The 26,615-nt window shown below is 42.9% G+C and overlaps 1 protein-coding gene and 1 long non-coding RNA gene across 5 annotated transcripts in view; one reads left to right on the top strand and one right to left on the bottom strand.

Moving 5' to 3' along the window:
* MRTFA (myocardin related transcription factor A) overlaps nt 1-26,615 on the top strand; it is a 226,431-nt gene that overhangs the window by 92,010 nt on the left and 107,806 nt on the right. The window contains exon 1 of one of the 4 annotated variants that reach the window (NM_001318139.2): nt 10,883-11,120. The exons of the other annotated variants lie outside the window; for them this stretch is intronic. Coding sequence (NP_001305068.1) covers nt 11,075-11,120 — 46 coding nt within the window. The 5' untranslated portion in view covers nt 10,883-11,074. Of the gene's footprint in view, nt 1-10,882; nt 11,121-26,615 lie in introns of those variants that run through there. 4 annotated transcript variants of the gene reach the window in all.
* Nucleotides 18,003-22,910, bottom strand: MRTFA-AS1 (MRTFA antisense RNA 1). Its single transcript, NR_109965.1, has 4 exons — nt 21,737-22,910; nt 21,270-21,344; nt 20,992-21,185; nt 18,003-18,491 (listed from the first exon to the last, which is right to left on the bottom strand). It is a non-coding gene; the product is annotated as an MRTFA antisense RNA 1 (long non-coding RNA).

Genomic DNA, 26,615 nt, shown 5'->3' with positions numbered 1-26,615 from the left:
GGCAAGTTAAGTCTTTTGCCTACTCTTTCTATTGTATTGGTTTTTTTCTTTAATAAGAGTTCTTTAAATATCCGGAATACTAGTTTGTTGTTGCTTAAGTGTATTGCAGACATCTTCTCCCACTTTGGGGTTTGTCTTTTTCTTTCTCTTTATCCTGTCTTTTGATTAAGAATCTCTAAATTTAGCTGGGTGTAGTGTCTCATGCCTATAATCCCAGTGCTTGGGGAGGCCAAGGCGGGAGGATGGCTTGAGGCCAGGAGTTCAAGACCAACCTAGGCAACATAGCAAGACCCCCTCTCTCAAAAAAATGAGCTGGGCATGGTGGCTCATGCCTGTAGTCCCACCTACTCAGGAGGCTGAGGCAGAAGGATCACTTGAGCCCAGGAGTTCAAGGTTACAATGAACTATAATCATGCCACTGTACTCTAGCCTGGGTGACAGAGCAAGACCCCATCTCAAAACAAACAAACAAAACACAAAAAGAATTTCTAAATTTAATGTAATTTATATGAGTCTTTTATAGTTTATGAGTTTTGTGTCTTGTGTTTCTGGAAATAATTTTTCATATGGGAATAAGGTAAGACACAAGTTAATTTTTTTTCAAGTGGATTCCGTTTATTGAAAATACTCTTCTTTCCCCACTAATCAACAGAGCTACGTCTTTCATATATCAAGGACTTAGCTATGTGGGTATGTTTCTGAGCTTGCTATTTGGTTCCATTGGGCTATTTGTGTATTCCTGCCCTCACAGTTTTAATTACGATAACTGTAATAAGCCCTGTTGTATGGGAGAAGTAAGTCCTCCCACCTTGTTCTTGTTCAAGAGTTTCATTCTTGTCTGTTCTTGGTCATTTGCATTTCCATATAAAATTACTCAGGATTTTGATTGGAATTGCATTGCATCTATGAACCAACTTAGGAAGAACTGATATTTTTATAATATTATACTGTAAATACATATTTTCCACATTTATTTAGATCTTTTGTAAGGCCTCCCAATGGGTTTTTAAAATTTTTCTCTGTGATGATCTTACACATCTTTAGTTAGATTTGTTTTTAGACACTTTGTGTGTTTTAATGAGATTGTAAATGTTGCCTTTTACAAAAATTTTATTTTCTAAATGTTGTTGTTGATCTCAGATATTGTTCTGAGAGATGTAAAGGTGCAGTTCTATGTGTGTCTGTAATCTGAGGTGCTGGATAGGATTGGAAGAGCTATGTAAAGAAAAGTAAGCAGGAAAATGGGAGTGAAAAGGGCCTTTCCTCTTTCACAGTGGTTTTTCTCCTCCTTTATGTAAGATTTAAGAAGTACCAGTTTGTTTTCACATGTGCAGCCTGTGGAATAAAGGACAGATCATGTATTTTTTTCTGTAAGGGTACGAACTGTATCCTTTCATGCCACAATGTTGCACAAGAGGTTCTAATTAATTGCTGGGAGAAGTAAAAATTTTGAGTGGGCAGTTTCTGATCCAAATTACAGTATTTCTTGGGGAAAGGAAAGAGTTTTGTTAATTATATTCCTCAGAAAGCATGGTTTTCAAGGATTTTCTAGATTAGGTCGCCCAGTTGAAAATCCTCCAATCTTAGGCATGTCAATTGATTAAATGATTCTGTTTATAATGTGACTTAGAGAATTTCATGACCTACTTCATTCCAGTACTTAGAGATAATCAATTTCTCATTCTTACTTATTCATCACATGTTATGCTAGGCCCCTGGAGAATAGATACCAGATAGAGTTCCTGCTCTAACACAAAACAAAACAAAAGCAAAAGCCCAAATTCTAATGGATCTCATCTCCCAGAGAAAATCACTGTTAGTATATGGTTTATATCCCTCTAGTGTTCTTGCAAATGTGTGTTTTTAAAATAACTGAGCTAATACTACAGACCCAATTCTGTGTCCTGCTTTTTTCATATTACTGAAATATTTTTATAAGTAGCCTTTTTTAATGGGGTACATAACATTCTGTTCTGTGCCATCATTTATTTACTTTCTCCTTAGTTGGACAATTGAATCATTTTCTGTTTTTCACACTTACATTAATATTTGGATAAATATCTTTTAAAATTTTTTTGCATTTCAGATTATTTCCTTAGAAGTGGAAATATTGGCTTAAATAATTTGACCATTTTAATGTTGGAAAAATTATTCTGTGATTATTAAGATCTTAGCACTTAGCACTGTGTGCTAAGTATTGGAGAGAGAGTAATGAACAAGACAGATAAAGTTCTTATTGTCATGGAACTTCTATAATTCCATGAAAGAAAAAGACTCAACAAAGAGTTAGATGAGCTAATTCATGGTTACAAACTTTGGTAATTGCTTTTTAAAAAAACAAAAACACAAGATATTATAACAGAATAACAGATCTAATAGTGAGGGTTTTCATGTAGGGAAGGCTTCTTTGAGGAAGAGACATTTAAGCAGAGATCCAAAGCATAAGTAGTGGTTTGACAAATGAAAGAAGTAATAGCGTGTGTGAAGACAGGGGTAGGGGGTGGGAGGAGGAGGCAGAGGTTATTGGGGAAAATTGTCACAAAGGAACTGGAAGAGTACCAGTATATCAGTGGAGGGAGTTTGGGAGGAAGTGATGTGAAATGAGTACTTTATTTCAGACATAAAGTATGAATGAGCCATGATCGTGCCACTGCACTGCAGCCTGGGCAACAGAGTGAGACCCTGTCTTAAAATAAATAAATAAAAATCTTTAAAAAGTGAGCTTAAAATATAGCCATCACCTAGGCTGGATGCAGTGGCTCACGCCTGTAATCCCAGCGCTTTGGGAGGCCGAGGCAGGCTGATTATGAGGTCAGGAGTTCAAGACCATCCTGGCCAACATGGTGAAACCCTGTCTCTACTAAAAATACAAAAATTTAGCTGGGCGTGGTGGCAGGCACCTGTAATCCCAGCTACTTGGGAGGTTGAGGCAAGAGAATCGCTTGAACCCGGGAGGCGGAGATTACAGTGAGCCGAGACCGCGCCACTGCACTCCAGCCTGGGCAACAGAGCAAGACTGTCTCAAAAACAAACAAACAGAAAATACACACACACACACACAGCCATCAGCTATCCTGGGTCTAAGGAATAATATACCTGTGGTAATGTGTGATCCTCCCAGGTTTACAGGTCTTGACTCAGTACTTCATCAGCAATAGGTTGTGGTCACAGGAAATGGAAGCTGCCTCAGGACCTGTAGCAACTTGCCTGCATGCTGGGTTATGTTATCTTTTGAGTGGTGCCCAATACGAGGTGTCTAGGGGAAAGTCTTAAGTGGTTGGAGCCCATGACATTTGGGTATGATGACTAGATTTTTTGTACAGCTGAGCCTCAATAAACTCATGCGTACACTTGTGAGAACTCAAATCAGAAATGGGCACAGAAACTGGATTACATTTCTGTGCTCTGAAATCCCACAGAGTTCATAAAAATACATTTGTTGCTTTTGTGTATACATGTGTAAGTTACATTTTATTATGGAAATTGATATTAGTGAAATTGACAGCTTTCTATGGTTAAAGATTATCCTGTAGGTGAGCCAAGGTTCTCTGTTTTTCTGATTTCTCTTATTCATTCCCTATAATTTCAGCATTTTCGTTCTCATTGACTTAATATTCCTGAGGGTATTATTGTGAATGTCTTTGTTTATGTTAACTCCATACTTCAATACTTTATGTAGTTTTCTAATAACACCTTCAGTATGTGTTCTAATGAAAATTTTAGCAGAGCACCTGCCCTTTCTGGGTAGGTAATTATTTTTTTTTGTTATGAACTTTTCCTATGCCATTTGAATTTCTGTGATAAATAAGGGCTTTTCATTCCACTTGGCACACATTTATGAATGCTGTCATGTATGTCAGACACTGAGCAAGATTTGAGAATGCAGAGGAATTTTTTGTTTGTATGTTTTTGGTTTTTTTTTTTTTTTTTTTTGAGACAGAGTCTCACTCTGTCACCCAGGCTGGAGTGTAGTGGCACCATCTCAGCTCACTGCAACCTTAACCTCACGCATTCAAGCAATTCTGCCTCAGCCTCCCAAGTAGCTGGGATTACAGGCATATGCCACCATGCCTGGCTAATTTTTGTATTTATAGTAGGGATGGGGTTTCACCATGTTGGTCAGGTTGGTCTCGAACCCCTGATCCACCCACCTCAGCCTCTCAAAGTGCTGGAATTACAGGTTTGAGCCACCGCGCTGCCTGGCTAGAATTAAGCCACGTGGTAAAGAACAATAATGGAGGCAGGCACAGGTGCTGGGGGAGCCTAAAGGAGGGGTAGTTAGCATATCCATGGAGGCTGTGAGAAAGGTGGGGAGAGTGCCAGGGATCAGAGAAGGCTTTATGGAGAAGGCAGCACCTTAAACTGAATTTTCAAAGAGAAATAACAATCAGTTGGTAACAAGGATGGTTTTTAGTAGAAACAAGGCCGAAGAGGAGGAGCACAGTGCTCAAGTACACACTACCACCTGTGAAATACTCCTTTCAAAAACTTTAACCTGGGCTGGGTGTGGTGGCTTACATCTGTAATCCTACCACTTTGGGAGGCTGAGGCGGGAGGATTGCCTGAGCCCAGGATTTCAAGAGCAGCCTGGGCAACATGATGACAACCCCCATCTCTACAGAAATTTTAAATATTAGCTGAGTATGGTGGCATGTACCTGCAGTCCCAGCTACTTGGGAGGCTGAGATGGGGGGATCGTTTGAGCCTGGGAGGTCGAGGCTGCAGTGAGCTGAGATCACTCCACTGTACTCTTGTCTGGGCAACAGAGTGAGACCCTGTCTGGGAAAAAAAAAAAAAAAAAAAAGATAACCGTGAAAATTTGAACACCGATTGTTTAACTGATATTAAGGAATTTATAAAATTTAAGTGTGAAAATATTATAGTTACGTTAAGAAAATAGTTGTCGTCGGCTGGGCGCGGTGGCTCGTGCCTGTAATCCCAGCACTTTGGGAGGCCGAGGCAGGCGGATCACGAGGTCAAGAGATCGAGACCATCCTGGCCAACATGGTGAAAACCCTGTCTTTATTAAAAATACAAAAATTAGCCAGGCGTGGTGGTGTGTGCCTGTAATCCCAGCTACTCGGGAGGCTGAGGCAGGAGAATCGCTTGAACCCGGGAGGCGGAGGTTGCAGTGAGCCGAGATCGTGCCACTGCACTCCAGCCTGGCTACAGAGAAAGACTGTCTCAAACAAAAAACACAAAAATTAGCCGGGCATGGTGGTGGGCGCCCGTAGTCCAGCTACTTGGGAGGCTAAGGCAGGAGAATCGCTTGAACCCAGGAGGTGGAGGTTGCAGTGAGCTGAGATTGTGCCACTGCACTCCAGCCTGGGCGACAGAGCAAGATTCTGTCTCAAAAAAAAAAAAAAAAAATTGTTAATAACTGCCAAAACTGTTAAACAACTTAAAACTAGGCTGGGTGCGGTGGCTTATGCCTGGATTCCCAACACGTTGGGAGGCCAAGGCTGGTGGATCACTTGAGGCCAGGAGTTCAAGACCAGCCTGGGCCAACATGGTGAAACCCCATCTCAACTAAAAATATATATAAAAATTAGCCAGGTGTGGTGGTGGGCGACTGTAATCCCAGCTACTTGGGAGGCTGAGGTATGAGAATCACTTGAACCTGGGAGGCGGAGGTTGCAGTGAGCCGAGATTGTGCCACTGCATTTTAGCCTGAGTGGCAGAGTGAGACTTTGTCTCAAAAAAAAAAAAAAAAAAAAAACAAAAGGCTGTGTATCCTGCAGTATAATGTCCCTTTAGAGTGAATTAATAGAGACTGTAGATCATATCAAATTTGTGTTGATTAGCTAGTTAGGATTAGAAGCAAACCTTTTGTTCTATTGGAAATTAAGATCATTATCTCTCATTTCCTTAGTGCTATTAACTTGAAGTCATCTTCATTTGTGCAGAGCCCTTGTTAAAGTTTACTTTAGTTCTTTTTCTATGAAGTGTTACTAATTTGCACAAAAAATAATGGAACTGAAGCTTTCACAGGGGTTCAGACTTTTAGAATTGTGAAATTTATTTTAAAGTCTGTTTTCACAATGAATGTTGCTGTGCTAATACTCTTGAGAGTAAATGCAAAATCTTAGCAATTGGGAAAGATTACATTGCTTCTTGTTTAATTTTTTTTTTAATTTATTTTTTTATTGATAATTCTTGGGTGTTTCTCACAGAGGGGGATTTGGCAGGGTCATGGGACAATAGTGGAGGGAAGGTCAGCAGATAAACAAGTGAACAAAGGTCTCTGGTTTTCCTAGGCAGAGGACCCTGCGGCCTTCTGCAGTGTTTGTGTCCCTGATTGCTTGAGATTAGGGATTGGTGATGACTCTTAACGAGCATGCTGCCTTCAAGCATCTGTTTAACAAAGCACATCTTGCACCGCCCTTAATCCATTTAACCCTGAGTGGACACAGCACATGTTTCAGAGAGCACAGGGTTGGGGGTAAGGTCACAGATCAGCAGGATCCCAAGGCAGAGGAATTTTTCTTAGTGCAGAACAAAATGAAAAGTCTCCCATGTCTACTTCTTTCTACACAGACACGGCAACCATCCGATTTCTCAATCTTTTCCCCACCTTTCCCGCCTTTCTATTCCACAAAGCCGCCATTGTCATCCTGGCCCGTTCTCAATGAGCTGTTGGGCACACCTCCCAGACGGGGTGGTGGCCGGGCAGAGGGGCTCCTCACTTCCCAGTAGGGGCGGCCGGGCAGAGGCGCCCCTCACCTCCCGGACGGGGCGGCTGGCCGGGCGGGGGGCTGACCCCCCCACCTCCCTCCCGGACGGGGCGGCTGGCCGGGCAGAGGGGCTCCTCACTTCCCAGTAGGGGCGGCCGGGCAGAGGCGCCCCTCACCTCCCAGACGGGGCGGCTGGCCGGGCGGAGGGCTGACCCCCCCACCTCCCTCCCGGACGGGGCGGCTGGCCAGGCGGGGGGCTGACCCCCCCACCTCCCTCCCGGACGGGGTGACTGGCCGGGTGGGGGGGCTGACCCCCCCATCTCCCTCCCGGACGGGGTGGCTGGCCGGGCTGAGGGGCTCCTCACTTCCCAGTAGGGGCGGCCGGGCAGAGGCGCCCCTCACCTCCCAGACGGGGCGGCTGGCCCAGCGGAGGGCTGACCCCCCCACCTCCCTCCCGGACAGGGCGGCTGGCCGGGCGGGGGGCTGACCCCCCCACCTCCCTCCCGGACGGGGCGGCTGGCCGGGCAGAGGGGCTCCTCACTTCCCAGTAGGGGCGGCCGGGCAGAGGCGCCCCTCACCTCCCAGACGGGGCGGCTGGCCCAGCGGAGGGCTGACCCCCCCACCTCCCTCCCGGACAGGGCGGCTGGCCGGGCGGGGGGCTGACCCCCCCACCTCCCTCCCGGACGGGGCGGCTGGCCGGGCAGAGGGGCTCCTCACTTCCCAGTAGGGGCGGCCGGGCAGAGGCGCCCCTCACCTCCCAGACGGGGCGGCTGGCCGGGCGGAGGGCTGACCCCCCCACCTCCCTCCCGGACGGGGTGGCTGGCCGGGCTGAGGGGCTCCTCACTTCCCAGTAGGGGCGGCCGGGCAGAGGCGCCCCTCACCTCCCGGACGTGGCGGCTGGCCGGGCGGGGGGCTGACCCCCCCACCTCCCTCCCGGACGGCACGGCTGGCCAGGCGGGGGACTGACCCCCCACCTCCTCCCGGACGGGGCGGCTGGCCGGGCGGGGGGGCTGACCCCCCCCCACCTCCCTCCCGGACGGGGTGGCTGCCGGGCGGAGACGCTCCTCACTTCCCAGATGGGGTGGCTGCCGGGTGGAGAGGCTCCTCACTTCTCAGACGGGGCGGCTGCCGGGCGGAGGGGCTCCTCACTTCTCAGACGGGGTGGTTGCCAGGCAGAGGGTCTCCTCACTTCTCAGACGGGGCGGCCGGGCAGAGACGCTCCTCACCTCCCAGACGGGGTCTCGGCCGGGCAGAGGCGCTCCTCACATCCCAGATGGGGCGGCGGGGCAGAGGCGCTCCCCACATCTCAGACGATGGGCGGCCGGGCAGAGACGCTCCTCACTTCCTAGATGTGATGGCGGCTGGGAAGAGGCGCTCCTCACTTCCTAGATGGGATGGCGGCCGGGCGGAGACGCTCCTCACTTTCCAGACTGGGCAGCCAGGCAGAGGGGCTCCTCACATCCCAGACGATGGGCGGCCAGGCAGAGACACTCCTCACTTCCCAGACGGGGTGGCGGCCGGGCAGAGGCTGCAATCTCGGCACTTTGGGAGGCCAAGGCAGGCGGCTGCTCCTTGCCCTCGGGCCCCGCGGGGCCCGTCCGCTCCTCCAGCCGCTGCCTCCCGGGCGGCGCTCGCCGGCGCCGCGGCAAAGACTGAGACAGCTCCGCTGCCCGCTGAACTCCATCCTCCCGGCGGTCGGGCGGCGGCGGCTTCGGCCCATTTATTTATTTATTGAGACAGGGTCTTGCTCTGTTGCCCAGGCTGGAGTTTAGTGGGGTGATCACAGCTCACTGTAGCCTGGAACTCCTGGGCCCAAGTGATCCTCCTGCCTCAACCTCCCAAGTAGCTGGGACTACAGACAGGCATCACCATACCTGGCTTTTTTTCTTTTTCTTTTTTTTTTTTTTGGTAGAGATGGGGTCTTGCCATGTTGCCCAACCTGGTCTCTAACTTCTAGTTTCAACCCACCCTCCCGTTTGGCCTACGAAAGTAAGTGCTTCTTGTTTAATTTTTTAAAGATTACTGTTTAAAAAATTGTTTTTCTTTTATTTAGGTCTTTTTACCTCAAAGTGCCAGTGAGATAGTGGGTGTGGAATTGCTAAGAAAAAGTCAAATCAACTGAGATGTTATGTTTATTTGTTATTCCTATCACATGACTCTCAATATCTCCTGTGGTGCTGGAGTATTGACACTGTGGCATTACATGCTCTCTTCTATGGCGAACAGTTTTGGCAGGAGGGAGACAGCCAGCCCTCTGCCCTTCCTACCATCTTCTGTGCAGGAATCTTAAAGTTTATATTTATTTTCCTGTAAATACCGAACTGTGAAAACTTGTTTCATTTGAAAACCCTCATTACTAGAGAGACAAAGTAAATTTAACAAAGACCAGGTGTGGTGGTTCAGGCCTGTAATCCCAACACTTTGGGTAGCTGAGGCAGGGGGATCACTTGAGCTTAGGAGTTCGAGACCAGCCTGGGCAACATGGTGAAACCCCATCTTTACTAAAAATACAAAAGTTAGCTGGGTGTGGTGGCATATGCCTGTAGTCCCAGCTACTTGGGAGGCTGAGGTAGGAGGATCGCTTGAACTTGGGAGGTTGAGGCTGCAGTGACCTGAGATCATGCCATTGTACTCAGTCTGGGGGACAGAGTGAGACCTAGTCTCAAAAAGAAAAAAAAAAAAAAAAAGAAAAAACCTCTCACACAGCAAATTATACAGCCCACATAAGGACCAAGGAATGACTCAATCTTCTCAACCTTTTAGGGATGCTTTTCCCTTAGTTGCTAACCTTTGACCAGACTGTCATGTAGACTCAAAGTTGAAATTTACCCGTTTTTCCTAAGTCAGTTTGAAAATTTGGTTGCCAGAAGGGGCCAGTGAGATGCTTCTGCTTTCCCAGAGCAGCATTTAGCCCACACTGGCTGCTACTCATTGCCTGTTGAGTCATTCCCACAGTTCTATATAGAGCTTTTCTGGCTTTTCTTTTAAACATGATGTTCTTGGAGTGAGAAAGGAAGGAAGTTTTTCTCTCTTGTACTGAGTCTCCCTCACCCCAAATTTGCATTGCTTCTCTTTACTAATAACAAAATATTGCCTTCAGTCATTCTGAGACTATTTTCTCTCTTAAGGTCTCCTACTGCTTTTATTTACCATTTGTTTACTATGTAAGCATTAAGGTATTCGCTGGGCTATTGGCAGCAGCCAGCTTTCACATACAGGCTGATAGTTAACGAGAAAGATTGAAGAATTCTAGATAAACACACCAAACATGGATTCTTAGTTTCCAACTTTAAAAAATTCAGTCAGATAGACTGAAAGTAATCTTAATATCATTGTTATGAATATCAGTTAATGAAAGGTGCTGTGGGGAGCAGTGGCTCATGCCTGTAATCCCAGCACTTTGTGAGGCTAAGGTGGGCAGATCGCTTGAGCCTAGGAGTTTGAGACCAGCTACTCAGGAGGCTGAGGTGGGAGGAGCACTTGAGCCTGGAAGGTCGAGGTTGCAGTAAGCCACATTTGCACCACTGCATTCCAGTCTGGGCAACGGAGTGAGACCCTGTCTCAAACATACAAAAAAAGTAAATGAAATCAAATAACATCAGTATACTGTCTATTCACAGACCGTATGTCTAATATAGGCACAAGTAAGAGGCTCTTTTAGGGGACTGACAGATCTGAAAGACAGATTACAGCTCTGGAATGTATTCAGATGACTTTTTGAAACAGATATTTTAATTGGAGTGGGGGTGGAGAAATAGTTGAGCTTCTGTAGTTAAATGTTCAACTTCCTTAGCCTGTTATCTATAAATACCACATATAAAAAAGCCGTTGGAATTCTTTTTCAGAAAATTTATGGAGCTTACATTTTGTATATATGTGTTTATATGTGTTTAATCTTCTTCCCCACCTCTCATCAATGGGTCAGTAATTGGACTGCTTCTTTCATGAGCTTGAGTTGTTTGGATTGTGTTTAATCTGTTCCACTAAACTGCATTAACAGCAGTCTCTTATAGTGGGATTTTGAACAAAACCTCATCTTCTCTTCTTGAGAGGAAAAAAGCAGTTGATCTGTTTTCTGAAAGTCTCTTTATATATGTCTCTCCCCTCCCCCAGAGACGAATAGCAAGGGGAGGAGCTTGCTCACTGTTCTAACCACACTTAGTATGTCTTAACTGGAGAGCTTTTTGGTTTCCTGTCGGCAGTAATTCAAATCTGTGTCATCTTGACTCGCCTGAAGGGTGGATAAATTGGTAACTGCACTGAGAAGGGGATATTCTCACAGTCTGATTTGAGCATAAGGCATCAGATTGAATTTGTGAAAGCTTTCAAGACAGCTTTTCTCCTGTGACTTTGACTTTCTTCATTATATTTGTGGATTTTTGTTTCTGGAAGAATCCGTCATGACTCTACTGGAACCTGAGATGTTAATGATGGCAGTACAGTCAGGTAATTCACATAAATCCTAATTTCCTAACTTGCTAATAATTTCCTACAAATCTTATTTGCCACAGGCTTCTTTAAAAAAAATGGGTCATATTTGTACTAGGAGTGGACAGAAATGGGGAGGAAGAAATGTACTGCATTTTCAGTTTTTTATTAATTTTTCTCTCATTGCAAATTCTAGTTATTCTGACAGCTTTGAATTAGATGGTTACTGGTTTTAAGATTATTCAGTTGCGGAGACCTGTTTGAGAAAAAAAACTCTTTGTCTTCTTTAATCAAGTGTTGTATTGTCTGTGGCACTGTTTTAAATGAAAGACAATTAAATTGCTTTGCTGTTTTATACATTGTTGTCTTTAATCACTAGTCTAGACTCTATGTTTTTATGAAAGCATCTTTAAATTTTTTTTCTTAGCTGTTCTTTCTTGTTTGTGGTATAACCTTTCTGTACCATCTTTTGGTTCTGTGGAAATGCCCTTAATAACACATAGGATTAGGACTAAATTTTGGAGATGGGTAAGTTTGAGCAAAGAGTCAGTCAACACAGGGGAGGATTTTTGAAATTTTATCTCTAAAAACAGTTTTCCAATTCAGAGTTTTTAAAACCCTTTTAAAAATATAGTTAGTTTTCAGTGGTTTCTTTTACTTTTAGTGTTTTTACACTTGGAAGTCAGATATCTAAAAATAGGGAATGTTCTTTTGCTATTTTTAGATCTCTACTAAAATGTAATCTGTAGTGTTTTCTTGTTTCAGAGCATATCTTAAAAGATTCAGACAAGTGGCATTTGGGGACCTCTTCCCCATCCACTGGCTTTCACTCAAAGGAAAATAAGACTTCTTGGTTCTGGCAGATACTGTCTCTGGCAGAATTGGTCTCACTGTTTTCCTTGGGGAGCATTTTAGGTAGTATGTTGAAAGACAGATATACATCAGTTGAAGACAGGATCAGATGCTATCTGGTTAATAAAGCTTATGATCAGGGAAGGGGCAAAGAAGACAGATACCACTACCATTTTGTTCTTTCTGGTTTTACTAATATGACCATAATGAGTCATTTTTTATGCATATAGGCTATGTGTTTCAGGTTGCCTTTCCTTTTCCTCCTACAGATCTATTGAGCTTTGTGTTCTAAACAAGATAGTGTGCTTATCTGAATGTTTCCCATCTGTCTTTGATGAAAAAGCTCCCAGTTAAACTAATTTGGATTTATTTATTTTTCCTGTCTATTCCAGTTCTCTGCTATGTGTGGGCAAGTGCCTGTTTTATCTTGAGGGGTAGATTTTAGCATTTGAACTCTCTCCCTTTTTAAAATCACCTTGTTACTTACAGATCATCTCAGTCCAGTAACTTTTCTTTATAAAGGTTAAAAGATTGTTTGCTTTCTTCTCAGGTAGTCTCAGTGTTCTCAGCCTTGAGAGGGAAAGGGACATACTTAATATTTTCTTGTCTTGCTTGCTAAGAGCTGTTTTTCCTTCGTCATGTGTTGGGCAGGGCTAGCCACCCATCTGTTGGACCAGCTACTTCATAAAACTTTCAAAGGATGATAGTAGGTGAAATGAAATTGACAAGAGTGTTGGATGCAGGTAGAATGAAGGGTCTGCTGTAGCGTGTATGTGGACTTCTTTCTTTTGTTTATGTTCGTAAAAGTGGAGAGACTCTGGATATAGAAAGGGTAATAGCAAACTGATATCTCCAGTACCTGTCTCCTATATGATCAAAAACATTAACAATGTGTTGGTTTTGTAAAATTGCTACTGTTTTGTTCTGAAGTGCTGTAGCCATTAGCTGGATTGTAACAGTAATATGACAGCTGTATAGTAAAATACTGTCTCTCTTTATGATAGGAAATGAAAAAGCATCTGTTATGAAGCCTCAGTGAACTAAAAGCCATTCTCTGAAAAGTCAAGACTTTTGGGCTTTATCAGTAGATAAACATGAGCCATAGGTTTTCTAGCAATAGAATATTTTAACCTATATGAATATATGCTTTATAGGTGAGACTGCTATTTAATGAGAGTTTTAAAGTAACTAAACCTTGTTGACAGAATTCAGGATGGAAAGTTTTACCCTAAATAAAACTTCAGGATATTGAATATGATAGCAAAGTTCCAGGGTATGTTTTATATTTATGAACAATTTTCATTTGAATATTTGGAGCTTGGGGGTTTTGGTGAGACATGTTCATGTATGTTATATACAAACTTTCAGGCCTGGCATGGTGGCTCACACCTGTAATCCCAACACTTCAGGAGGCTGAGGCAGGAGGATCGCTTAAGCCCAAGAGTTCAAGACCCATCTCTACAAAAAATTAAAAAAAAAAAAAAAAAAAAAAAGCCAGGTATGATGGTGCCCACCTGTAGTCAGAGCTACTTGGGAAGCTGAGGTGGGAGGATCGATTGAGCCCAGGAGGTCGAGGCTGCAACAAGCTATGATCATGCCATTCTACTCCAACTGGGGCGACAGAGCAAGATTCTGTCTCAAAAAATAAAACTTTCATCCTCCTCACTGCTGGTGGTCTCTTACTGGTCCTTTGGAACCAGCCAGATGTATATGTCTTCCTAATTAGATTATTAGCTTCTCAAGGGCAATATATTAATCTATATATTGGCTTCTGATACTGGCACATGGTACTTAGTATTTTTGAATGAATGAGAGTGATGAAATTTGGATTGTCATACTTTCCCTGATAAGTATAAGCTTTTAAATCAAGATTTTATCGAAGTATTTTGAGATCTGTTCTTATATTAAGAAATGAATCTTCTACCCACCATCCTGTATTTTAGCCAATCCTTGTCCAAAGCAGATGTTGTTGAAAAATAGCTTTCAAAGTTGGAATTCTTCTGCATCTCAGAATGTGCAGTATGTCATGTCTGCCTGTGATGTTTATTGCTGAATCTAAGTGTTCTAATCAAACCACAGTTAGAGCTTTTCTCACTACTATGGAAACATATCTGAATCATTTTGTTTAGATAATTAATGATCTAAGATGGACATTATGGGGCCGGGCGCGGTGGCGCACGCCTGTAATCCCAGCACTTTAGGAAGCCGAGGCAGGTGGATCATTTGAGGTCAGGAGTTCAAGACAAGCCTGGCCAACATGGTGAAACCCCATCTCTACTAAAAATACAGAAATTAGCCAGGTGTGGTGGTGCATGTCTGTAGTCCCAGCTACTTGGGGGGCTGAGGCAGGAGAATTGCTTGAACCTGGGAGGCAGAGGCTGCAGTGAGCTGAGATTGTGCCACTGCACTCCAGCCTGGGCGACAGAGCGAGACCCTGCCTCAAAACAAAAACAAAAACAACAAAACAAATAAGATGGACATTATGGAATTTCAGAAGCTAAGTCTTAGGGAATATTGGGGCATGGTACTGACTCTGGTGTGTTTTAGAATGGAGAAATGCTAGGACTTGGCTCTTGACAGCTAATGTGTAAGGCTTTGACTAGACAGGCCCTAAGGTGTATCCATCTAGTGCAGTCCTCTTAGTTATAACAACAGCAGGACAGAATTCACTTGTAGAGAAAACAGTTGAGACAGTTCCTTAGGTATGCTTTGGTCCCACGACATAAATCTGATCTTAATGAGGCATAGTTAGGGAGTCACTTTGTTTTTTCTCTCTCTGTCTTGTGCATGTATGTATGCACACCCACACATTTGTCCATGCACAGGATGTCTCTGGAAGGACCACAGAAGCTGGTAACCCTGGCTGCCTCAATAAAGGGGAATAGAGAACTGGGGGACTGGGGTGGAAGAGACTTTTTGTTGTTATGATTATTAGAGTACTCCATAAATGCCAAAGAATATATAAAGTATTATAAGATTTGATTAATGCACACCTACTAACCAGCCTAAGAAATACAGCACAACCTATACACTCAAGTTTTCTAAGTGTTCTGTTTGATTTATCCTTCAGAAAATGCTTTTAAACTGTGTACTTTAAAATCTTTTTGGTTTTATACCACATACATGTTATCTATTTGAAAATATTTGTTTTATTATTAAAAATATTTCTTCAGCACTTTGGGAAGCTGAAGTGGGCAAATCACTTGAGGTCAGGAGTTCGAGACCAGCCTTGCCAACATGGTGAAACCCCATCTCTACTAAAAATACAAAAGTTAGCCGGGCATGGTGGTGGGTGCCTGTAATTCCAGCTACTTGGGAAGCTGAGGCAGGGGAATCTCTTGAACCCAGGAGGTGGAGGTTGCGGTGAGCCGAGATCGCACCACTGCACTCCAGCCAGGGCGACACAGCAAGATTCCATCTCAAAAAAATAAAAATAAAATATTTCTTCAGTCCATTTAGTCTCTCTTTTCCTTGATACCTGTGTACTTAAAATTCCTGCATTTTTTTAACTTCTATTTCCCTAATCATTACAGTTTGTTTCTGCACTGTATGTTTTAGAATAGTATGGGTCAAGAGGGGAGTGGCAATTAATAAAAATGAGGTTAAAAGGAAGTATCATAGGGCAGATTGTGGACATATAAGTTTTTCCCTTTTTGATAGTATGTTAATTCTTTAAGGAAGGTGCCCCATTTGGGTTCACATCACTCACAGGTCTGTAGAACTGACGAAAAACTCCAGATTGCACTAGCAATACCTACTTTTTGGATCTCTTAATGCTCTAAATCTTTTGGCAAGGGCTACAATGGAAGAAGAAGAATTGTCTTGGAATACATTAACACTAACGATAGCTGATGAGCTTTTAAAAAATTGCAAAAAAAAAGAATCTCATAATGTTTTAAGAAAGTTTACAAATTTGTGTTGGGCCACATTCAAGCCATCCTAGGCTGCAGGATGGGCAAGCTTGCTCTAAATATTAATGTAGCCTTTAAAAAAACATACTTTTTTTTTTTTTTTTTTTGAAGCAGAGTTTCACTCTTATTGCCCAGTCTGGAGTGCAATAGCACGATCTCGGCTCACCGCAGCCTCCACCTCCCGAGTTCAAGCGATTCTCCTGCCTCAGCCTCCTGAGTAGCTGGGATTACAGGCATGTACCACCATGCCCTGCTGATTTTGTATTTTTAGTAGAGACGGGGTTTCTCCATGTTGGTCAGGCTGGTCTCGAATTCCTGACCTCAGGTGATCCGCCCGCCTCTGCCTCCAAAAGTGCTGGGATTACAGGTGTGAGCCACCACGCCTGGCCACTTAGTTTTATATTTAAGGGATTTTAGAGTTTGAGAGAAACCTTAGGTAGAAAATTCTTGCCCTCCACTTTAAGATGAGGAAATTTACCCATTTCAAAGAAACCATCAGAGGCCTCTAATAAATGAGATTGTTTATAATTTTTCCCAAAGATCTTGGTTTTCTTTGGGCTTTTCCATTGCAGGATTCTGTCACTACTCAGAATGACTCACATCTTAGGAGGTGGAGATAAAAACCAGTGCCTGGGTATTCACCTTCCACCCGCTGGGAAGTGGAGTCAGAATGCGACAGGCCTCATAATTCTCCAGTGGGCCTCCATCTTATCTTACTCTGTATTCCCTGGTCTTGGTGATCTCATACTTTAATGATGATCTCAGAAGACAGGTAGGTAGACAGACAGCTGTTGTCATCAGTATTCTGGCTTACATCTTCCTGCCCCTTCTGTGACTCATTGATTTATCTGAAGTCCCCTTAGAGTTAGGACGCGGATCAAAGAAATTTGAATTCATTTGTCAGTCTGCATCTTTTTTTTTCCTCCTTTTTGTTTCTTTTTGGATGAGGCAAGCTGTCAAGACCAAGAACTACAGTTTTAGCTTTATTAAAACAGTGCCAAATTAAATAAAGACGAGACTCATAAAGTCTTGTTTTTTTGGAACTTCACTTTTATGATTACCACATGCTTTTTTTTTTTTTTTTTTAAGATGGAGTCTTGCTCTGTCACCCAGGCTGGAGTGCAGTGATGCGATCTCGGCTCACTGCAAGCTCCACCTCCTGGGTTCACTCCATTCTCCTGCCTCAGCCTCCCAAGTAGCTGGGACTACAGGCGCCCACCACCATGCCCGGCTAATTTTTTTTGTATTTTTAGTAGAGACAGGGTTTCACTGTGTTAGCCAGGATAGTCTCGATCTCCTAACTTCGTGATCTGCCCACCTCAGCCTCCCAAAGTGCTGGGATTACAGACGTGAGCCACTGCGCCTGGCCCACATGCATTATTTTTTAAAAAGATTTTCTTTATAACGACAAGGAAAATAATGCTAAAAAACCACTCTGCCATCAATGACAAAAAAAAAAAACTCCACTTTCTTTGCCTTGCACTCGTCAAGCTAAAGGGCAGTATCAGGCTGAGCTCATGGTATCAGAGGTCTGGGGCATTAATCTCATGGCAAAGTCGCATAAATGGCTGATGGTGGCAGTATGGTGAGTATAGAGGGCCTAGAAAAGAGGACTATGTGACAACTACATAGTGCAAACAAACTCAGTAGTGAAATTTTTATAGTCTGTCATAATTTAAAAGTATTTGTGTGTGTGTGTGTGTGTGTGTGTGTATCTTTGAGGCGAGGTCTTGCTCTGTCATCTAGGCTAGAGTGCAGTAGTGTGATCATGGTTCACTGCAGACTCAACCTTCCTGGCTCAAGCAATCCTCCCATCTCAGCCTCCCGAGTAGCTGGACCACAGGCGTGTACCGCTGCACCCCAGTATTTTTTTTCTCCTCCCCTGCCCCAATAAGTTTTTTATTTTTTGTGGGAATGAGATCTTGGTGTGTTGCCCAAGCTGGTCTCAAACTCCTGAGCTCAAGCAGTCCTCCCACCTCTGCCTCCCAAGGTATTAGGATTACAGGTGTGAGCCACTGCTCATAATCCCCTTAGCCTTAGGTATATTGTTTGATTTTCACAACAACTTTTTGCAGTGTCTGTATCTTCACAATTTACAGAGGAAACTGAGGTTCAAAAGCTTAAGGACACACAGTAAGAGATGGAACAGGTGTTTAATTCAGCTTTTTGAGTTTAAACACGATTACATTATCCATTTAAAATTAATCAGGTCATATCCCTCCTTGCTCAGAACCTGCCAGTTATTCTCATTCACTGAAAAAGCCACAGTCCTTATACTCGTCTACAAAGTCCCACATGAACTGCTTTGTAACTCTTATTTTATCTGCTTCTCTTCTCTCCCTTGCTTGTTTTACCCCAACCATATTGGCTTTGTTTGTTGTCCCTGAGCACCTTAGCTCGCATATCAGGGCTTTTGTACTTGTTATTCCTTCTATTTAGAGCACGTTTCCCTGAGTAGCCTCATGGCTTGTTCCCGCATCACCTTGAGATTTTTGATCAGATGTTACTTTTGGGCCTGTTATGGTGGCTCACACCTATAATCCCAGCGCTTTGGGAGGCCGAATGGGGAGGATCACTTGAAGCCAGGAGTTCAAGGCTAGTCGGGCATCATGGTGAGATGCTGTCTCTGTGAAACAGCAACAACAACAACAACAACAACAAATTAGCCAGGCATGATGGCATGTGCTTGTAGTACCAGCTACACAGGAGGCTGAGTGGGGAGGATCAGTTGAGCCCAAGAATTTGAGGTGGCAGTGAGCTATGACTGTGCCACTGCACTCCAGCCTGGGTGACAGAGCAAGACCATGTCTCTTAAAAAAAAAAAAAAGTTACTTTTTTAGTTAGGCGCACTCCCTGACCATCCTATTTTGTAAAACCTTGCTTTTATTTTCCTTCATACCACTTATTTGCAGAATAGATAGTTCATTTGTTTATTGGTTGTGGCTGTCTCTTCGTAGAATGTAAGTGCCACAAGGAGGATTTTTTTTTTCCTCTTTGATTCTCTGCCTTGTGTATAAGAATACTTCGTGTATTGTAAGCACTTAATAATTGTTGAATGGGTGATTTAGCAAAATCATTAGGATATTTTTTAGGTTAAGTATGTTCCTGAGACCATGCCTTGTAAATATTTGTATAGCGTGCCCTAACTGAAGAGGCACTACAGTATAGAGCATTGTTTTCAAAGTGTGGTCTGAGGACCCCTAGGTGTCCTTGAAACATTTTCAGTGGGTATGAATCAAAATTTTATGTATTTATACTAAAATGTAATTTCCCTTTCTTACTGTTGTTCTTTCATAAGTGTACATTGTAGTTTTGGTTTTTTATATTTTTATAATTTTTTTGTGAGACAGGGTCTTGCTCTGTCGCCCCCTGCTGGAGTGCAGTGGTGGGATCTCGGCTCACTGTAACCTCTGTCTCCCGGGCTCAAGCAAACCTCCCCGACAGCTTCCTGTCTAACCCAGGAGTTCAAGACCAGCCTGGGCAACATAGCAAGATTCCATCTTTACAAAAAATTTTTTAAAATAATTTTTAAAATGTGGAATAATGTTTACCACTTATCTCTATAATTCTAGAAAAGTGGCTTTGAGGCTATACACCAGAATATGAATAACTTTCTCTGAGTAGTGAGATTTCATAGGGGACATTATATTTTTTCCATCTTTTGGGTTTTCCTGTATCTTTCTGATTTTCTATGATGAGCATACATTTCTTTTGTATTCCAATAAAGCTTATGTTGGCTGGGCACAGTGACTCACCCCTGTAATCCCAGCATTTTGGGAGGCTGGGGCGGGCGGATCACTTGAGGCCAGGAGTTTAAGACCAGCCTGGCCAGTATGGCGAAACCCCATCTCTACTAAAAATACAAAAAAATTAGCTGGGTGTGGTGGCCCATGCTTGTAATCCCAGCTACTTGGGAGGCCGAGGCAGGAGAATTGCTTGAACCTGGGAGGTGGAGGTTGCAGTGAGCCGAGATTGCGACATTGCACTCCAGCATGGGTGACAAGAGCAAAACTCTGTCTCAAAAACATACACACGCACACGCACAAAAATAAATAAAGCTTATGTTAAATTGTGTGTATGCACATACACAGGTAGGTACAGTTAAAAGAGGAAGAAGATGGATGGAAGCATAATGATTAGGAGATAGAGCTGTTAATTTGGAACCTCTGCAGTCAAAGTGCTCCCTCCACTGACCAAATACTGCATGATAAGGAGGCACTCCATCTCATTAAACTGTTCCCTCTGACCAGTTGAGTTTGTATAAATCTCTTTTACATTTTTGCCTTTGTTTCTATTTTGTAAGACTTATTGAAATTTATCTTTGCAGTGTTTGTGTTAGGCCATGTTCTTGGCAGAGCTGTGGCTCCTTCCTGTGTACACTCATTTACTCTCAATTTGCTGAACCTCTCAGAAGTTTTCTGTCAAAAAACAACACGTTAAATTTTTTGTTTGCTTTTGTTGGGTAAGAATAATCTGATTTGTTGTAGGCATAAAATGGTGGTGTTAGTATACAATGTTTTAATTATTTTTTTGTGTAGCTTTTATTTTTGAGCCAGGGTCTCACTCTGCTGCCCAGGGTGGAGTGCAGTGGCATAATCACAGCTCATTGCAGGCTGGACCTCCCCAGGCTCAGGTGGTCCTCCCACCACAGATTCCTGAGTAGCTGGGACTGCAAGTGCACATCACTAGGCCCAGCTAAAAAAATTTTTTTTAATGAGAGACAGGTTTTCACTATGTTGCCCAGCCTGTTTTAATTTTTTGAAAGTGCATTTCTGCAATATATTTTGCTCATTGACTATAGGGTGTGAAAATTGTCCTTAACAATTCATGATGCTGTATCTTTCTGATTTTCTGTTTTTCTGTTTTTCCTTGCAAATAGGATCTTGAGGAACTAAAATATTAATTAAACTTGATTTTTTGAACTGTTTTCTTAGTATATTCTCTTGGGAATCGATAAGATTATATTCCTCAAATCAGTGCCATAAGACTAATTTATTTGGTTATGTAAAGTACTGAAAACTTAGGTATCAACATTAATTAGGTTACTCAAACAGATACTATGTCCGTATTCTTCTAATACCTTGCTACTCAAAGTATGTTCCAAGGTCTGGCAGCCTTTGTATCACCTGGAAGCCTATTAGGAATGCAGAATCTCAGACGCCACCTCAGACCTGCGGAATCACAATCTGTTTTAAAAAGATTATTTGCCGGGTGCAGTGGCTCACAGCTGTAATCCCAACACTTTGGGAGGCCAGGGTGGGCAGATTGCTTGATGTCAGAAGTTTGAGACCAGCCTAGGCAACATGGTGAAACCTCATCTCTACAAAAAATGCAAAAATTAGGCAGGCATGGTGATACACACCTGTAGTCCCAGATACTTAGGGGGCTGAAGTGGGAGGCTCACTTGAATTTGGGAGGTCAAGGCTGCAGTGAACCGTGTTTGCACCACGGTATTCCAGCTGGGCCACAAAGTGAGACCCTATCTCAAAAAAAAGATTGTCACATGCATATTAAAGTTGAGAAGTTCAGTTCCAAAAGATATTTTATTTTTATTTCCCAAGATGCTATGAGATGTGTTGGATTTATATGTGGGATTTATATGATGTCTAATTAGTATGGAAGAATAGGGTAAAACAGGAAACAAAAAAGAAAACCTGCTCCTGGTATAGTTCTCTGTGTTAGATAAACGTTCACAATTTGACAACTTTTTTTTTTTTTTGCCATTTTTCTTCATTTTTCAAAGAAAGAACAAATAGGCTTATTTTTGGCATTCTAGAATGTTTAACTGGGAAGGATCTTAGACATGACCTGATAACAAACCTTGGTTTTACAGGTGAACAGACGGGGGGCTAAGAATGTTAAGTGACTTACCCAAGATCATATAGCGTGGACTCCCTGTGACCTGATTTTCAAACTACTGATCTTTGGAACTCCTGTGCTACCCCTCTGTGTTGCTGAAGGCCATCTATTCTTAGTTGGTTCTATTGATGTTGGTTGAAACCATCCCGAACATACCTGTGGCTAGGCACAGTGGCTCACGTCTGTAATCCCAGCACTTTGGGAGGTTGAGGGGGGCGGATCACTTCAGGTCAGGAGTTGGAGTCCAGCCTGGCCAACATGATGAAACCCCATCTCTGCTAAAAATACAAAAATTAGCAAGGCATGGTGGTGCACACCTGTGACTCTAGCTACTCGGGAGGCGGAGGCAGGAGAATTGCTTGAACCCTGGAGGCAGAGGTTGCAGTGAATTGAGACCACACCACTGCACTCCAGCCTGGGTGACAGAGTGAGACCCTGCCTCAAAACAAAACAAAACAACCATCCTGCACAATTATGAGTGAGAGTAAATCCAACACATCTCACAGCATCTTGGGAAAATGATAAGGCTCACTTTCTTCTTTCCCTTCAGTGTGAACTCATGTAATAACTTCAGAGAAAGGCATTTCCCTGCTGTCTGGAAGTTGAACTCCTTCTACAAACTGGTGGAGCTTGCTGCCCAGTCCTGTGCCCTCCGAGCTGAGGGGAAGGCGTGGGGATTTTCTGTTCTACTGAAATGGCAGGATTATGTCATAGCAGTGGTTTTGAGTGTTTAGAGGTAGTGTTATTTTAATTATTTTTCTAACTCTGGTTTAAATAAAAACTTACAAATCAGGAAAGAACTGGCTATCTGTATGTTAAAAAAATTAAGAGAGGGCTGGGTGCAGTGTCTCACGCCTGTAATCCCAACACTTTGGGAGGCCGAGGTGGGTGGATCACGAAGTCAGGAGATCGAGACCATCCTGGCCAACCAACATGGTGAAACCCCGTCTCTACTAAAAATACAAAAATTAGCTGGGCGTGGTGGCGTGCGCCTGTAATCCCAGCTACGCAGGAGGCTGAGGCAGGAGAATCGCTTGAACCTGGGAGGCGGAGGTTGCAGTGAACCGAGATTGTGCCAGTGCACTCCAGCCTGGCCAACAGAACAAGACTCCGTCTTAAAAAAAAAAAAAGGAGAGAGAGAGAGGGAACATTGACTCTTACCTTGTACCATCCCAAAAATTCATTTGAGGCCGGGTGTGGTGGCTCATGCCTGTAATCCCAGCCCTTTGTGAGGTCAAGGTGGGTGGATCGCTTGCGATCAGGAGTTGGAGACCAGCCTGGCCAACATGGTAAAACCCTATCTATACTAAAATACAAAAATTGGCCAGGCGTGGTAGCGGGCACACATAGTCCCAGCTACTTGGGAAGCTGAGGCAGGAGAATTGCTTGAACCCAGGAGGCAGAGGTTGCAGTGAGCCAAGATTGCACCCCTGCATTCCAGCCTGGGTGACAGAGTGAGACTCTGTCTCATAATTAATTAATTAATTAATTAATTCAGGCTGTGGGATACTGCTCAGCAACTTTTAAAAAGGGGCAAACTTTAAACGTTTTAGAAATAAAACACCCTGAATGACTCTTGAGAATTACTCTGAGTGAAAAAAGCCAATCCTAAAATGTTACCTATTGTATGATTCTATTTATATAACATTCTTGAAATGACAAAATTATAGATATGAAGCACAGATTGGTTCTTCATATTGTCAGGGCCTGTGGATGGTGTGGGGCTGAAAGTAGATGTGGCTATAAAAGGTCAACATGAGGGATCCTCAGGGTGATGGAAATGTGTATGTTGACTAACAGTGCCAGTATTCTGGTTGTAATATTGTACTGTAGTTTTGCAAGATGTTATCATTGGAGGGAACTGAGTAAAGGATACATGAGCTCTTTGTATTATTTATTATGTGAATCTATAATTATCTCAGAATGAAAAGTTTATACATGAGCTGTTTATTATTTCTTATTATGTGAATCTATAATTATCTCAGAATGAAAAGTTTAAAAACTACAATTTGGCAGCTTTTCAAAAAGTTAAACATAGATCCTGTGACCTAGCAATTCTACTTCTAGATATATATCCTAGAAAACTGAAAACATTTGTCTGTGTATTTTTACACAGACAAATGTTCATAGCAGCTTTTTCAAAATAGCTAAAAAGTGGAAACAACCCACATGTCTTTCAGTTGATGAATAAACAAAATATGGTATATCCATACAATGGAATATTATTCACTCATAAAAAGAAATCACTGTTGATATATGTTATAAAATGAATGAACCTTGGCCTTGTGTGGTGGCTTATGCCTATAATCCCAGTACTTTGGGAGGCCAAGGCAGGTGGATCGCTTGAGCCCAGGAGTTTGAGACCAGCCTGGGCAACATGGCGAAACCTATGTCTACTAAAAATACAGAAAAATTAGCCAGGCTGGTGGCATGTGCCTATAGTCTCAGCTACTCGGGAGGCTGAGGCACAACAGTCGCTTGAACCTGGGAGATGGAGGTTGCAGTGAACGGGGATCAAGCCACTTGCACTCTAGCCTGGGTGACAGAACGAGACTCGTCTTAAAAAAAAAAATGATGAACCTTAAAAACATTTTCCAAATGAAAGGACATAGACATAAAAGGCCACATATTGTGTGATTCCATTTAAATGAAATGTCCAGAACAGGAAATGGAGAGTGACTGCTGATGGATACAGGGTTTATTTTTGGGGCAATGAAAATGTTCTGGAATTAGTTGCGATAAACTATGGAATTATGCACTTTGAATGGTTGAATTTTATAGTATGTGAATTGTATCTCAATTTTTTAAATTGTGTGAGGAAAAAAATTCAGGTTTCTCTAGAGTGACAGCAGATCAGTGATTGCCTGGGGCTGGAAGTGGAAGGAGAAATTGAATACAAAGGGACACAAGAAAACCCTAGGGATGAAAATATATCTCTTTATTGTCGTGGTTATACAGGCATATGCAATTGTCAGAACGCTTTGAATTGTACACTAGGTGAAGTTTATTGTGTCTGAATTGAAGTTCAATAAAGTTAGTTTTTAAAACTTATAATAAAATTATCTCTAGTTGTTGTAAGCTTAAAATGACCTTTAGGTTAAAATTATCTTATCTCTTATTAATTATAAGGCCAACAACTATTGCAAAAATTACCTCATAGAGTCTGACTTCCGTTGCTAGTTTCTATCCAGTTTCCAAAGTGAAACTAGATTGATCACTTTCACTCAGACTTTGCTCTTAGGCGTTTGTACTAGCCTGACTCCATTATTGTGCTTTTCAGAACCCATGAGTGGGTGTGATTGTTATAACATTTTTTTTAAGTTTATGGAACATTCTATTGCTTTTATTTCTTTTTTGCTTTTATGTACAACAGAAAAATGTCTCAAATTGGGTATAACAAATCAGCGTGATTGCCTTTCACCTCCACTTTGGAGTGCTTTGAGCCAGTTTGGACACAAGGAGGTTGGAGTTAAAATGACTCCTGAAGGAAGTAAGCAAGCATGAGAAGAGAGGGCAGCACTGGTAGGTAACGCTAAAACAACATCGCCTTCATCTCTCAACCCTGATCTCTTTCCAAGAAGTGAGCTGACTAAATGAAATATTACACAAAACCCTCCAAGGTTTGAGAAGAGTTCTAGAGGGTAGTCTCTAAGTGAGAAGGACCATCTCTATAGGTGGCCCTGAGTTTTATCCTCAAATTTCCTTCTACGCCATGTACCCATCCTCACTCATTTTTCGGGTCCCACCAAGCCTAAACTCAGGGGTAGTTTTCCATTTAAAATTCTGCCTCACAGGTGGACACATCTTTTTTATTGTTTCCCTTAAGCACAGATTAGACTAACTTTATTAAAAGAGATCATGCAGGAGCATCCCTTGAGACCGGGAGGCAGAGGTTGCGGTGAGCCAAGATCCTGCCACTACACTCTGGCTTGGGCAACAGAGTGAGACCCTGCTTCAAAAAAAAAAAACCCCAAAAACAAAACCACCACCACCACCACCAAAAGCCTCCAAAACAAAAATCACGAAAACATAAAAGAGACATATGTCTAGAATATCGAATTCTAAGTGGATTTTGTAAGAATTCCAGCAAAAATAAATATATTTAAAATGATAATAGCTAACACTTAGAGTTTACAGTGCATGAAGAGGAAAGACAGACACTGGTTTTTTTTTTTTTTTTTTTTTTTTTTGGAGACAGAGTCTCACTCTGTCGCCCAGGCTGGAGTGCAGTGGCATGATCTTGGCTCACTGCAACCTACGCATCCTGGGTTCACGCCATTCTCCTTCCTCAGCTTCCTGAGAAGCCGGGACTACAGGTGCCCGCCACCACACCCAGCTAATTTTTTTTGTATTTTTAGTAGAGACGGGGTTTCACCTTGTTAGCCAGGATGATCTCGATCTTCTGACTTTGTGATCCGCCCACCTCGGCCTCCCAAAGTGCTGGCATTACAGGCGTGAGCCACCGTGCCTGGCCTGTTTTGTTTTTTTCTGTACTCTACTACTCCTTTCAACACTCCACCTCTGATGACATCAGATGTGTAGGTTTTGTTTTTTTTTTTCCCTCACCAACAACCAATTCTCCAACCATCTGGTCACCAACTGGATATTCTACAATTTAACTCAATTATGACATTAATTCCCTGGAGTTAGTGCAGACCCCCACAGGTTAAGGGCTCAGGCCCACAAGATTTCCCTGAACTTCAGATGCCGATCGATAGTGGTGGGTCCTCAGGTTATCCACAACTTCTGTCTGAGTTGGCTACAAATCAGAGGTTTCCACAAGCCTCTCCTCAGGTTGGATCATTTGCTAGAACGACTCACAGAACTTATGAAGGCCCTTTACTTAAATTTGTCAATTTATTATAAAGGATAAAACTCAGGAACAGCCAAA

The sequence above is a fragment of the Homo sapiens genome, chromosome 22 (genome assembly GCF_000001405.40).
Source record: "Homo sapiens chromosome 22, GRCh38.p14 Primary Assembly".
Classification (NCBI taxonomy): domain Eukaryota; kingdom Metazoa; phylum Chordata; class Mammalia; order Primates; family Hominidae; genus Homo; species Homo sapiens.
This window is presented reverse-complemented; position numbering and strand designations above follow the sequence as displayed.